The sequence below is a fragment of the Homo sapiens genome, chromosome 19, assembly GCF_000001405.40.
Source record: "Homo sapiens chromosome 19, GRCh38.p14 Primary Assembly".
Lineage (NCBI taxonomy): Eukaryota > Metazoa > Chordata > Mammalia > Primates > Hominidae > Homo > Homo sapiens.
The window spans coordinates 55,617,697-55,631,209 of NC_000019.10; the positions used below are offsets into that span (position 1 = coordinate 55,617,697).

The 13,513-nt window shown below is 50.6% G+C and overlaps 1 protein-coding gene across 1 annotated transcript, besides 4 other annotated features; it reads right to left on the reverse strand.

The window, feature by feature from the left end:
* Window positions 1-3,044: 3,044 nt before the first annotated feature.
* ZNF784 (zinc finger protein 784) lies at window positions 3,045-6,870 on the reverse strand. Its single transcript, NM_203374.2, has 2 exons — window positions 6,788-6,870; window positions 3,045-4,948 (listed from the first exon to the last, which is right to left on the reverse strand). The coding sequence occupies exons 1-2, from the start codon at window positions 6,863-6,865 to the stop codon at window positions 4,055-4,057; spliced, it is 972 nt and encodes a 323-aa protein (NP_976308.1). The 5' UTR covers window positions 6,866-6,870; the 3' UTR covers window positions 3,045-4,054.
* Window positions 6,851-6,900: a silencer, noted in NCBI's record as "silent region_11049". NCBI's record gives its function as "represses an Ori minimal core promoter by ATAC-STARR-seq in GM12878 lymphoblastoid cells {active_cell/tissue: GM12878}" and the evidence as "EXISTENCE:reporter gene assay evidence [ECO:0000049][PMID:35858748]".
* Window positions 6,851-7,350: an enhancer, noted in NCBI's record as "H3K27ac hESC enhancer chr19:56135913-56136412 (GRCh37/hg19 assembly coordinates)". NCBI's record gives its function as "activates a minimal SCP1, AML or CMV promoter by ChIP-STARR-seq in primed H9 embryonic stem cells {active_cell/tissue: H9 hESC(primed)}" and the evidence as "EXISTENCE:reporter gene assay evidence [ECO:0000049][PMID:30033119]".
* Window positions 6,971-7,030: a silencer, noted in NCBI's record as "silent region_11050". NCBI's record gives its function as "represses an Ori minimal core promoter by ATAC-STARR-seq in GM12878 lymphoblastoid cells {active_cell/tissue: GM12878}" and the evidence as "EXISTENCE:reporter gene assay evidence [ECO:0000049][PMID:35858748]".
* Window positions 7,101-7,250: an enhancer, noted in NCBI's record as "active region_15099". NCBI's record gives its function as "activates an Ori minimal core promoter by ATAC-STARR-seq in GM12878 lymphoblastoid cells {active_cell/tissue: GM12878}" and the evidence as "EXISTENCE:reporter gene assay evidence [ECO:0000049][PMID:35858748]".

The window sequence follows — 13,513 nt, forward strand, 5'->3', positions numbered from 1 at the left end:
GATGGTCATGATACAGCTCCCTCTTAGCACTTGTCCTCCAGGGTAATGATTGGGAGATTCAAAAGCCCGTTCACAGCTCTCATGTTGGCTCTGGGAACAGCAAGATGTATGCCTGGCAATGTGTGTTTAGTTATCTCATTTGTTAGAAGAAGGGCCTGGGGTCCTGAAGAACAAAGGTGCTCCAGGGACATCTCAAAAATCCACAGAATTTGGACTCCAGGCCAGGCATGGTGGTTCACGCCTGTAATCCCAGCACTTTGGGAGGCCGAGGCGGGCAGATCACTTGAGGTCAGGCGTTTGAGACCAGCCTGGCCAAAGTGGTGAAACCCCATCTCTACTAAGAATACAAAACTTAGCTGGACATGGTGGTGGGCATCTGTAATCCCAGCTACTCAGGAGGCTGAGGCAGGAGAATCACTTGAACTCAGGAGGCAGAGATTGCAGTGAGCTGAGATCGCACCACTGCATCCAGCCTGGGTGACAGAGTGAGACTCCATCTCAACAAATAAATAATTTGGACTTCAGTCCCAGAGTACTTCAGTACAGAAACTTGAAGATGAGGCCAGGTGCAGTGGCTCATGCCTGTAATCCCAGTACTTTGGGAGCCCAAGGCGAGCAGATCACCTGAGGTCAGGAGTTCGAGACCAGTCTGGCCAACATGGTGAACCATCCTTTCTACTAAAAGTACAAAAATTAGCTGGGCGTGATGGCAGGTGCCTGTAATCCCAGCTACTCGGGAGGCTGAGGCAGGAGAATCACTTGAACCCAGGAGGTGGAGGTTGCAGTGAGCTGAGATTGCGCCACTGCACTCCGGCCTAGGCGACAAGAGCGAGATTCCATCTCAAAAAAAAAAAAAAAAAAAAAAAAGGAAAAAAAGAAACTTGAAGATGAAACTAGGTAAGAGCGCTGCTTGGGTGAGTCCTGTGTGACCCATGGGAGAGCAGCTACCCTGTGTGGCTCCATGTTCTAATGCTGAAGACCCAGCATGAGACAGACGTTGTGCCAGTGCCCCCAGGGTTCAGGGTTCAGCAGTAACATGGAAATGGAGCCTCACAGTGTAAGGGACTTGGAAGTATCACTAGGGCTTGAGGGAGCACAGAGGAGTCACCTGTCAGAGTGGAAGGGGGGCTAGAAAAGCTTCTTGGGGAGAAGGTGATCCCTGAACGATGACATAAACCAACTGGAGTTTTCCAGGTAAAGAAGTGGCAAAGAGGCCGGGCACGGTGGCTCATGCCTGTAATCCTAGCACTTTGGGAGGCCGAGGCAGGTGGATCACGAGGTCAGGAGCTCCAGACCATCCTGGCTAACACGGTGAAACCCTGTCTCTACTAAAAATACAAAAAATCAGCCGGGTGTGGTGGTGGGAGCAGGTGGCAGGCGCCTGTAGTCCCAGCTACACGGGAGGCTGAGGCAGGAGAATGGCATGAACCCAGAAGGCGGAGCTTGCAGTGAGCCGAGATCATGCCACTGCACTCCATCCTGGGCGACAGAGCAAGGCTCTGTCTCAAAAAAATAAATAAATAAGAAAAAAAAAAAAAAAAAGAAGTGGCAAAGATTTCCAGGCGGAGAGTTTAGTGTGTTGAACTAAACCCTGCTATTCTGGAGCATTTAAGACAGATTAGTATGGCTGGAGGTTGGGTTCCTGGGGGCTAAACCCTGAAGGGTCTTGAATTCCAAACTGTGGGGCTTGGGTGATTTTATAGGCTAGAGGCTGGAAACTGGCAGCTGCAAGGCCGAATATGACCACTAACACATTTTTGTTTAGTCTGTGCATTTTTTAAAAAGTTTGACTTGACTGCCAACATTGGGAAATCAAAAGATTTTACATAATGTGAACTAATGGAACTTCTGAAAGAAACTGGAAGATGTGGCAACCCAATCTGTGTTCCGGAGCTGAGCAGCCATTACCCTCTTCTGAAGAGGCACTCTCCAATTTGTTGAATACCAATTCTGAGACCTGGTGGCAATCGCCATTATTTCATGTTGCTGATATTTTCCCCTTGAACCTGGCCGTCTTGCTCGTGTATTTACATTTTCACCCAGCTCCTGTAGGCATTCACATTTCCAAATCGTCTCAAAGCCACAAGGAGCTGTGTCTTGGTGACAAGGATCTGCATGGATGCCATATGGAGAATGAAGAGGGCAGGTGGCCGGGTGCAGTGGCTCACGCCTGTAATCCCAACACTTTGGGAGGCCGAGGCGAGTAGATCACCTGAGGTAAGGAATTTGAGACCAGCCTGGCCAACATGATGAAACCCCATCTCTACTAAAAATACAAAAATGAACTGAGCGTGATGGCGCCCACCTGTAATCCTAGCTACTCAGGAGGCTGAGGCAGAAGTGCTTGAATCCAGGAGGCAGAGGTTGCAGTGAGCAGAGATTGTGCCATTGGACTCCAGCCTGGGCAACAAGAGCAAAACTCCATCTCAAAAAAAAAAAAAAAAAAAAAAAAAAAAAAAAAAAAAAAAAAAAATGCAGGCACTGGACTGCTGTGCAGTTGTCTGTGTGTGAGACCACTGTTGGTCTACAAGTGTAGTGATGCCGAAAACACGTTCCAGTTCCAAAGATATTAACTGGCTCAACTGAGGGAAACTGATAAGGGACTGGACATAAGAATGAGGATGAAGAAGGTTTAAACCTGCCCAGGTATCCAGCTTGGGTGGTGGTGCCAATGACATCAGAAGCATGGAGGTTTCTTTGAGGAAAATGGAATGAGTTCTGTTCACATTGTGAGTTGCCTGTGAGTTATCTCATGGGGCCCACTGGGTGAACAGAAAGGTGTGCAAATCAGAGGCTCTCACTCAACAAGCATGCAAAGCATGTTGAGTGTGCTTTTGCCAAACTTCCCTGACCCCCCTCTCCTACAGCTGAACCACATAACACGTAACCACAGTGGGGCCTACTCACCCCCCATTCTGATGATGGGGAAACAGAAGCTTGGAGGAAGAGATGATGCAACTGACTGCTGGTGGCAAAACCATGGTGAGGCCCCTCCTCCCCCAACTCCCCAAAGCGGACAATCCGAATACAAGACCGACAGAGAAGCCCTTCAGAAGGTCCTTTAATAGGAACAGAACTGAAGGTGTCACACCTCCAGCTCCCAAGTCCTCCTCTCGCCCCCACCACAGTGACTCTTTCACTCCACACCCAGGCCAGCCCACCATGCTGCCATCAGCCAGCCCGCCCTTGGGATTGGCGGGGACTAGGCAGTAAGCTGTTTGCTTCGAACTGGGAGTGGAGGAAATTAGAGAAACCTGAGGCTACCTTGAGGCTTGTGGGGGACCCTGGGCTCTGAGTCTAAAGCTTTAGGAGGGGGATGCTAGGTAGCTGCTTGCTTTATGTGTTCTCAGTTGCCTCCGAAGAAGAGTGGATGGGTTAAGGACGGACCACAATGGGGGTGGGGGTTGCCGCTGTTGGAGTCAAGATCCTATGGTCAGGCTTACATCCTTGAGGCTCAAGTGCTCTCAGCGGTGACTTGGGGACCCTCTGGCTTTGAGGTGATGGGATCCCAGAGTCTCTTCACAGATAACCTGGTGAGTGTCTTCTGCCAGAGGGTGGATAGGCATCCCAGGTCCAGTGCAATGCAGTGAGGTAGGCAGGAGACTCCATCCTGGTCCACCCGTGGAGGACCAGAGCAGAAGACTATGGTGGACCCCAATTCCCCCCTTCCATTCGATCCTGGCTCCTCCTCTGAAGTGCCCAGGCTCTGTCGTGACAGGCTGGGTCTTGCACAAGGACAAGCCAACCAAGAGACAGTCGGGGAAGTGACATCCAGCCCGTGGGCCTTGCCTTTGGCCGCACACCCGCAGAGCTGCAAGAGCTGCACCTGTCCTCTCCTAGGCCTGGCAGAGGTGCTGTGTGGGCGTGTGGGAGTCTGGAGCCTGGCCCTCTCCCTCTGCTCTCCATCACTAGCGGCTCACAACCATCCCTGCAGCTGTCATCTCTCCCCCAATCTCCCCTCTTCTGTCCCCTGCCTCCGTTTCCCCACCCCGTCCCCCTCCCCGGGTCGGCCTCGTACCTCCGCCTTAACTAACCCATGTCCCTGGTCTGCAGCCTACTGGTCGGCCTCCACCTTCACCTTCGCGGTCTCCCCCCGCCCCTCCTCCGCAGGGTCCCCTACCCCACACCCGCTCCCCGACCCCTCAGCCGCCGACGAGCCCAGCTGGCCTCCAGAGTCTCCCAGCCCCGGCCCCGGCCCGTGGAAGTGGGTGCGCTGGTGCTTGCGGAAGTTGGAGGAGTTGTTGAAGGTGCGGTCGCAGAGCGTGCAGCGGAACGGGCGCTCGCCAGTGTGGATGCGGGCGTGGCCGCTAAGCACCGAGGACTGGGTGAAGCCCTTGCCGCAGATGCCGCAATGGTATGGCCGCTCGCCAGTGTGCACGCGCTCGTGGTCTCGCATGTCTGAGGAGCGGCGGAAGGGCTTGGCGCAGAACCTGCAGGCAAAAGGCTTCCCCACCGCTGCGCCCGCCGCCGCCGCCGCCATCACCACCTCCGCCCTCTCCGGGGCCACCCCGGGCCTCTGTTCTGCAACGGCCGCTGTGTCCGGAGGCCTCCGAGAGGTGCCCGGCTCCACCCCGTGCCGGTGCTGGTGCCGGAGCAGGGGCGCCAAGGCCTTGAAGGCGCGGGGGCAGAGCGCGCAGCGGTAGGGCCGCTCCCCCGTGTGCAAGCTGTAGTGCGCGCGCAGGCTGGCGGGGCCCGGGCAGCTGTGGCCGCACACGTGGCACCGGCTCGGGTCCCCACCCTGCCCGCCTCCCTCGGCCCCAGCCAAGTGGCCATGTTCGTGGAACAGCAGCTCGGAAACCAGCCGGAAGGCAGCAGGGCACAAGGCACAGTGGAAAGAACCTGGCTCCGGGGGCTCAGGGACCAGCGTGGTGTCCGTCACCTTCACCACCTGGATCTCGATGAGGTCACTCGGGGGTGTGCCAGGCCGGCAGTCATCAGGCACCAGGACCTGGGCAAGAGGAGAAGAAAGAGGAGCCTGTGGAACCTGCCTCAGGACCGCCCCAGCACGCCCCAATTATTAAAGCTTGGGCTCCTCTGTTATTTTCAGACAGGGCCTCACTCTGTTGCCCTGGCGCGATCGTGGCTCATTGCAACCTTGACCTCCTGGGCTCAAGCGATCCTCCCACTTCATCTCCCTGAGTAGCTGGGATTACAGGCATGCACCACCACATCCAGCTAGTTAAAAAAAAATTATTTCTGGCTGGGCACGGTGGCTCAGGCCTGTAATACCAGCACATTGGGAGGCTGAGGTAGGCAGATCACCTGAGGTCAGGAGTTCGAAACCAGCCTGGCCAACATGGCAAATACCGTTTCTACTAAAAATGCAAAAATTAGCCAGGTGTTGTGGCTGCTGCCTGTAATCCCAGCTACTCGGGAGACTAAGACACGAGAATCGCTTGAACCCAGGAGGTGGAGGTTGCAGTGAGATGTGATCATGCCACTGCCCTCCAGCTCAGGCGACAGAACAAGACTCCATCTTAGACAGCAAAACAAACAAAAATTATTATTATTATTTTTAATGTAGAGGGAGTCCCACTATGTTGCCCAGGCTGGTCTCCAACTACTGGGCTCAAGAGATCCTTCTGGCTCTGCCTCCTAAAGTGCTGGGATTGCAGGCGTGAGCCGCCGCGCCCGGCCCATCCTCCAGGATTCTGTTGTATCCTCATCAACATTTCCTCTCCTGTCCAAAATATATCATGGATCCCACCTTTTGTCCTCCACCCTAGTTAAAGCCCCATCACTTGGCGCCTCCAAAATTGAAAAACCCAAGGGCATCTCTGTTCCTATTTCTGCTGGCTTGTAACCCACCTCCCAGGAATAGCCTGAAGGTCTTTTGAAAATGTAAATCAGATCAAGTCATTTTTCGCACTCAAAACCCTCCAGTGGCTCCAAATGACTTATCCCAAATCGTCACTATAATATCTGTGGCGATGTAGCTCCACTTATCTCTCTGACCCCAGCTTAAACATAAGCCGGCACCCAGCTGACTTCTCTCGTCTAAATTTAGCTGCCCCACCCCTACTCTTGGCTCAATTTATAGAAATTGGCTCAATTTTTATTTCCTTTATAGAACATATCACAGTAACTCTCCTTTATTGTCTCTCTCCTCTCAAGAGACTGCAGGCTCCAAAAGAACACAACCCTTGTCTGTCTTGGTCACTTCTCTATTTACAGAGCCGAAGTAGGAGCTCAGTAAATGTTTGTTGAATGAATGAATGTCCTCAATTAGTCTAATTCTGAGTGGGGTAACGTGGAGGAAGTTCCAAAGTCACCTAGACCACCCACTTCTACCCCCAAATTCTCCCTTGGGCATTCGAGAAGCATCACTAAGACCCTTGAAGAATTATCCCCTACCCCGACATAGGTGCTCCAATCATAATCCCCCACGTTTTTCAGGGTCACCTTCCCAACCTTCTACCCTAGAATTAGCCCTAGAATTTATGAGGCCCCGCCCCTTACAAGGCTCCACCCAAATTATGCAAATTATCCCTGGTAAGCCCCCTTCCCTGGACCCAAACCCGTCCCACAAGACAACACCGTCCTCAGACTCCGCCCCCATCCAGGCCCCGCCCACCACCCATAGGTCCCTCCCCCACCCCGCCCACCATGACATAGTCTCCTCCCCTGCCCCGCCCCTCGCGAAACCACAAGAAGCCCCACCCCCAGGGCCATAGCACTAAATACCTCCCTCGCCCACCCCCTCATAGGCCACGCCCCGGACCCGCCCCCCACACTACGACCTCCTCCCACCTCGAGCCCCACGCCCAGGCCCCTTCCTTGCCCGCACCAGGTCCAGTGGCTCCTGGGATCGCGACTCCGGAGTCGGTGAGCTCCGACTCTGGGCCTCTGGGCGCGCAGCGGCCATCTTGTGCCCAAGCCCCGCCCCCAAGGCCAATGTTCGCTCTGAAAGGGGGTGGGGCTCGAACTGGCGTAAGAGCTACTGCGCAGGCGCAGTGCGGGGCTGCGAGGGGGCGTGGTGCAGCAGGGGGCGTGGCGGGGCGGGGCGTGGCGGCTGAGCCCGGGAGAATGTGAGTTGTTCCCTCTCTAATTACCTGTCTGTCCCTCCGAGGGTACGCTCTGTGTGGCGCTAGGATGCCTGTAACACCCTGGGAACAAATCCGAACGTTCCTTCTAAACCAACGCAGGCCGACTCGAGGCTCTGGCTGTCAGGGGAACCTCAGCAGAACTGAAGAAGCTTTGCTTTGTTTCCACGGTAAACGTTTTTGTGATTACCTCTGCACTGCTCATGACAACGTAATGACGCCAAGTTTATAAACGTCGGTGTAGGCCGGGTGCGGTGGCTCATGCCTGTATTCTCAGCTACTCGGGAGGCTGAGGTGGGAGGATCGCTTGAGGCCGGGAGGTCGAGGCTGCAGTGAGCCATGATCTCGCCACTGCATGCAGCCTGAGTGACAGAGACTCTGTCAAAAAAAAAAAAAAAAAAGGCAGTGTGGAGAAAAATATTCAGTAAACAGCAACACAGGTGGTCCTGGGAGGACGCAAAAACCCGCAAGCTGATGTTATGTTTGGGAGGAAAGAGCTCAAAAACGCGGGGTTTTCAGCAGCATCAAGGACGGGGCTCTTCTTAGCTGCCCCGTTTAGTCATTCTGGTGGTATCACCTTGGATAAGTCACTACACTTCTCTGGACCATTTCTCTTTCTTTTGTGTAGCACTGTAGAAGCATTGTGACAAACCACTGAGAAGAGACATGGAAGAGTTTGGAAACATCTTTAAATAGTTTTCTTGAAAGGGCAGGATAGGAGATACTTAAACATGATCCTAAGCATGATCATTTCATTCATAAATATATATGAAATTATATTTTGTGATATGTTGGTATAAAATAAAGATAAACACCACTTAGGCTGAATTATCTCCTCCTCCTCCTTTCTTCTTCTTTTATAGAGATGGGGATCTTGCTGTCTTGCCTTGCCCAGGCTGGTCTTGAACTCCTAGCCTTAAGCGATCCTTCTGCCTTGGTCTTCCAAAGCTATATTTCCCTTCTTTTCTTTTGATTTTAAAATAATTTTTTTTTTTTTGAGATGGAGTCTCACTCTGTCGCCCAGGCTGGAGTGCAGTGGCATGATCATGGCTCACTGCAACCTCTGCCTCCCGGGCTCAAGCGATTCTCCTGCCTCAGCCTCTTGAGTAGCTGGGATTACAGGTGCCCGCCACCATGCCCGGCTAATTTTTGTATTTTTAGTATATACAGGGTCTCACCATGTTGGCCAGGCTGGTCTCGAACTCCTGACCTCAGGTGATCCGCCCACCTCGGCCTCCCAAAGTGCTGGGATTACAGGTGTGAGCCACTGCGCCCGGCCTAAAATAAATTTTTAAATGTTGTGGGTCCCTAAGAGTATCATGGGCCCTAGGCACTGTATCTACTACTGTGTCTAATGCTTAAGTCAGCTCTTTCTGTCCAGGTTTCCTAATTTGCAAAATGAGGGTGATAATAAAACCTACTTTACACAGTTGCTATGATGATTAAAGAAGTCATTATATATAAAGTATTTTGGACAATGTATGGCACACAGCAGGTGCTATGAGTTAGCTATAATAATTACTACCATTTGGCACTCCCACTAGCAATAAATAGGGACCTTTGTTGCTTAACATTCCTATCAATATCTGATACTCAAACTTTAAAATGTTCGCTAATCTCTTGGGTGTGAAATAATTTCATTTCTTTTCTTTTTTTTGAGAAACAGCCCAGGCTGGAGTGCAGTGGCGTGATCTCAGCTCACTGCAACCTCCACCTCCTTGGTTCAAACAAATTTCCTGCCTCAGCTTCCCAAGTAGCTGGGACTACAGGTGTGACACGTCATTACGTTATCGCAAGTGGTGCAGAGGTAACCACAAAAACCTTTACTGTGGAAACAAAGCAAAGCCTCTTCAGTTCCGCTGAGGTCTTCCACTGACTGCTAGAGCCTCGAGTCGGCCTGCGTTGGTTTAGAAGGAACGTTCGGATTTGTTCCCAGGGTGTTACAGCCCAGCTGATTTTTGTATTTTTGTTTTGTTTTGTTTTTTGTTTTTAGTAGAGACAGGGTTTCACCATATGTTGGCCAGGCAGGTCTCAAACTCCTGACCTCAGCTGATCGGCCCGCCTCGGCCTCCCAAAGTGCTGGGATTACAGGCATGAGCCACTGCGCCTGGTCTATTTCTTATTGAGAAGCTCTTTATTAAAAGAGATCATTCATAGCACCCAGAACTCATCCTCCAGTTTCCCTTTTTTGAGAGCTGGAAGTATGTCATCTCTGTATCCCCTCTGTACATCCCTATAGAGAAGGCATGTATATGGCTCAGTGAGTGTTTGGTGAATGAATGAGTGAGAAATTGAATTCATGCAGATAGAAGAACTTTGTACCAGAGCTTAAGGCTATTGAGTATTTTTTCCCTTTTTTTTCCTCCCCACCCCCACTAAAGCTATTAAATATTTGCAGAGGAGAGCACTGTTTAGTGGAATTACCATAAGCTTTCAAATCAGGCAAACCTGGGTCCAGATCCGTTTATCTGCTTGCTGTGCAACTCTGGGCAAGCAATGTCTCCTCTAAGTGTCTAGCTGACATCTACAAAGTGGGCACCATAATGTCATTTGGCAGGGTTGTAGTTAGAATGCCACTGATTGAGAATGCCAAAGGTCTGTGTGATGCCTGGAACCAACTGGTGCTCAATAAATGTGGGTTCTGCCTGGGCTTGGTATTCTCTACTAAGAATACAAAAATTAACATGCACAGTGGAGCACGCCTGTAGTCCCAGGAACTTGGGGAGCTGAGGCAGGAGGATTGCTTGAGCTTGGGAAGTTGAGGCTGCAGTGAGCCAAGATCACACCACTGCACTCTGGCCTGGGTGATAAAGTGAGACCCTGTCTCAACAAATAAATAAACATAAAATAAAATAAATATAAAATTTTAAAATTTAAAAATGAATCTGGGTTCCTTGCCTTTTCACCTGTTGTCTGGCTTCTGAGTCCCTCGGTACCTGGCATAACACTAACAGGCTATTGCATGACTTGAGGCTAGAAGCCCTGCTACACGGAGCCATTAGACAATTGCAAGAAGATTTTAGCCGGGCGTGGTGGTGGGCGCCTGTAATCCCAGCTACTCGGGAGGATGAGGCAGGAGAATTGCTTGAACTGGAGAGGCGGAGGTTGCGGTGAGCCAAGATTGCACCACTGCACTCCAGCCTGGGAGACAGAGCAAGACTCCATCTTAAAATAAAAAAATAAAAAAATAAAAGAAAATGCCAGGAAGAGTCTTGGACTTGGAATCAGATTTGCCTCGCTTCTCTCCATCTCTATCTTCCTGTAAAACCTGAGCACTTCACTTCTCCTCACGGAGCCTAGATTTCCTGCCTTTTAAAAGAAATTGGCTGATAGAATTAGCTAGATGGCTCTGCAGTTCCTCTCCCTTTCATTTTTCTATGTGCCCAAGAAAACTGAAAATATACATTCACACAGAAACTTGTAAACAAATGCTATTCATAACAGCCAAAAAGCAGAAACAGCCCAGATGTCCATAAACATAAACAACATGTGGTATATCCATAGAGTGGAATATTATTTGGCCATAAATGAATAAAATACTGATCCACATGACAACATGGATGAACCTTTAAAGCATTATGCTAACTTAGAGGCTGGGAAGGGTGTGTGGTGGAAGGAGGGATGAATGAAGGTTGGTTAATGGGTACCAACATAGTTACAGAGAAGACATACTTTTTTTTTTTTTTTTTTGAGATGGAGTTTCGCTCTTGTTGCCCAGGCCGGAGTGCAGTGGCTCGATCGCGGTTCACTGCAACCTCTGCCTCCCGGGTTCAAGCGATTCTCCTGCCTCAGCCTCCTGAGTAGCTGGGATTATAGGTGCCCACCACCACGCCCAGCTAATTTTTGTGTTTTTAGTAGAGATGGGGTTTCACCATGTTGGCCAGGCTGGTCTAGAACTCCTGACCTGGTGATCTACCCGCCTTGGCCTCCCAAAGTCCTGGGATTACAGGTGTGAGCCACCACGCCCAGTCCGTGTATTTCAAAGTAGCTAGGAGAGAGCACTTGCAATGTTCCCAACACATAGAAATGATAAACACTCAAGATGGTGGTTACCCCAAATGCCCCGATTTGATTTGATCATTACACATTCTATGCGTGTAACAAATACATGTACCCCAAACTCTGTAAAATATTATGTGTCAATAAAATAAAATTTAAAAATATATTAAGTGAAAGAAGCCAGGCACAAAGGACCACATATTATTAAGATTCTATTAACACCAGAATAGGGAAATCTATAGAGGCAGAGTGTAGCTTTGTGGTTCCTTAGGTTGGGTGGGGATAGAGAGTTGGGGGGAAGGAAGAATAGAGGAGTGATACCTAAAGGGCATGGGATCTCTTTTTGAGGTGATGAAAGTGTTCTAACGTTGACTATCATGATATGTGCACACAACTATGAATATACTGACTATTGAATTATACACTTTAAATGGGTGAATTGGGTGGGGTTCAGTGGCTTCCGCCTCTAATTCTAGCACTTTAGGAGGCAGAGGCAGGAGGATCCCTTGAGCCCAGCAGTTCCAGACCAGCCTGGGCAACACATCATGACAGCCATCTCTACCAAAAACCAAACAAACAAACAAAAACAAAAAACAAAAACAAAAAAAGCCCGGTGTAGTGGTGCATGCCTGTAGTCCCAGCTACTTAGCAGGCTGAGGTGGGAGGATTTCCTGAGCCCAGGCGGTTGAGGCTGCAGTGAGCCATGACCGTGCCATTGCAATCCAGCCTGGGCAACAGAGTGAGACTCCGTCTCAAAAAAACTACAAAGAGGCCAGGCGCGGTGGTTCACGCCTGTAATCCCAGCAGTTTGGGAGGCCAAGGCAGGAGGATCACCTGCGGTCAGGAGTTGGAGACCAGCCTGGCCAACATGGTGAAACCCCGTCTCCACTACAAATACAAAAATTAGCTGGGCCTGTAATCGCAGCTACTCCGGAGGCTGAGGCAGGAGAATCGCTTGAACCCAAGAGACAGAGGTTGCAGTGAGCCGAGATCGTGCCAGTGCATTCCAGCCTGGGCACAGAGCAAGAATATGTCTCAAAAACACACATACACACACACACACACACACACACACACACACACACACCTCTAAATGGCGAATTATATATGTAGTGATATGTGAATTACACCTCAATAAAGCAGTTTAAAAAAATAATCGGCTGAACATGATGACCTTTCAGGATCAAACTGCAGATGATATTTAAAAACTATAAACCTGGTATGGTAGGTATATGGATGTTTACTATGCAATTTTATTTTTATTTTTATTTTTTAGGCAGAGTCTTGCTCTGTCTCCCAGGCTGGAGTGCAGTGGCGCAATCTCGGCTCACTGCAAGCTCTGCCCCCAGGGTTCACACCATTCCCCTGCCTCAGCCACCCGAGTAGCTGGGACTACAGGCACCCGCCACCACGCCCGGCTGATTTTTCGTATTTTTAGTAAAGACGGGGTTTCACTGTGTTAGCCAGAATGGTCTCGATCTCCTGACCTCGTGATCTGCCCGCCTCGGCATCCCAAAGTGCTGGGATTACAGGCGTGAGCCACCGCGCCGGGCCAGTTTGTTTGTTTTTTGACAGAAAGTCTCACTCTGTCGCCCAGGCTGGAGTGCAGTGGCATGATCTTGGCTCACTGCAGCCTCTACCTCTTGGGCTCAAGCGAGTTTCCTGCCTCAGCCTCCCAAGTAGCTGGGAATACAGGCGCCTGCCACCACGCCCGGCTAATTTTTGTATTTGTAGTAGAGACAGAGTTTCACCATGTTGGCCAGGATGGTCTCGAATTCCTGACCTCAAGTGATCCGCCTGCCTCGGCCCCCCAAAGTGCTGGGATTACAGGCATGAGCTGCTGTGCCCGGCCCCTTTTTCTTTTTCCTTCTTTCTTTCTTTTTCTTTTTTTTTTTTTCTGAGACAGAATCTTGCTCTGTCGCCCAGGCTGGAGTGCAGTGGCGCAATCTCGGCTCACTGCAAGCTCTGTCTTCCCGGGTTCACGCCATTCTCCTGCCTCAGCCTCCCGAGTTGCTGGAACTACAGGCACCCGCCACCTCGCCTGGCTATTTTTTTTTTTTTTTTTTTTGGTATTTTTAGTAGAGACAGGGTTTCACCGTGTTAGCCAGGATGGTCTCGATCTCCTGACGTCGTGATCCGCCCGCCTCGGCCTCCCAAAGTTCTGGGATTACAGGCGTGAGCCACCACGCCCGGTCTCTTTTTCTTTCTTTCTTTGTTTCTTTCTTTCTTTCTTTTTTTTTTTTTTTTGAGATGGGGTCTTGCTTTGTCATCCAGGCTGGAGTGCAGTGGCACAATCATAGCTCACTGCAGCCTCGACCTCCTGGGCTCAAGTGATCCTCCCACCTCAGCTTCCTGAGTAACTTGGACTACAAGTGTTCACGCCATCATGCCCGGCTGTTTTGTATTTTTTTGTAGAGACAGGGCTTCACCATGTTGCCCAAGCTGGTCTTGAACTCCTGGGCTCAAGCAAT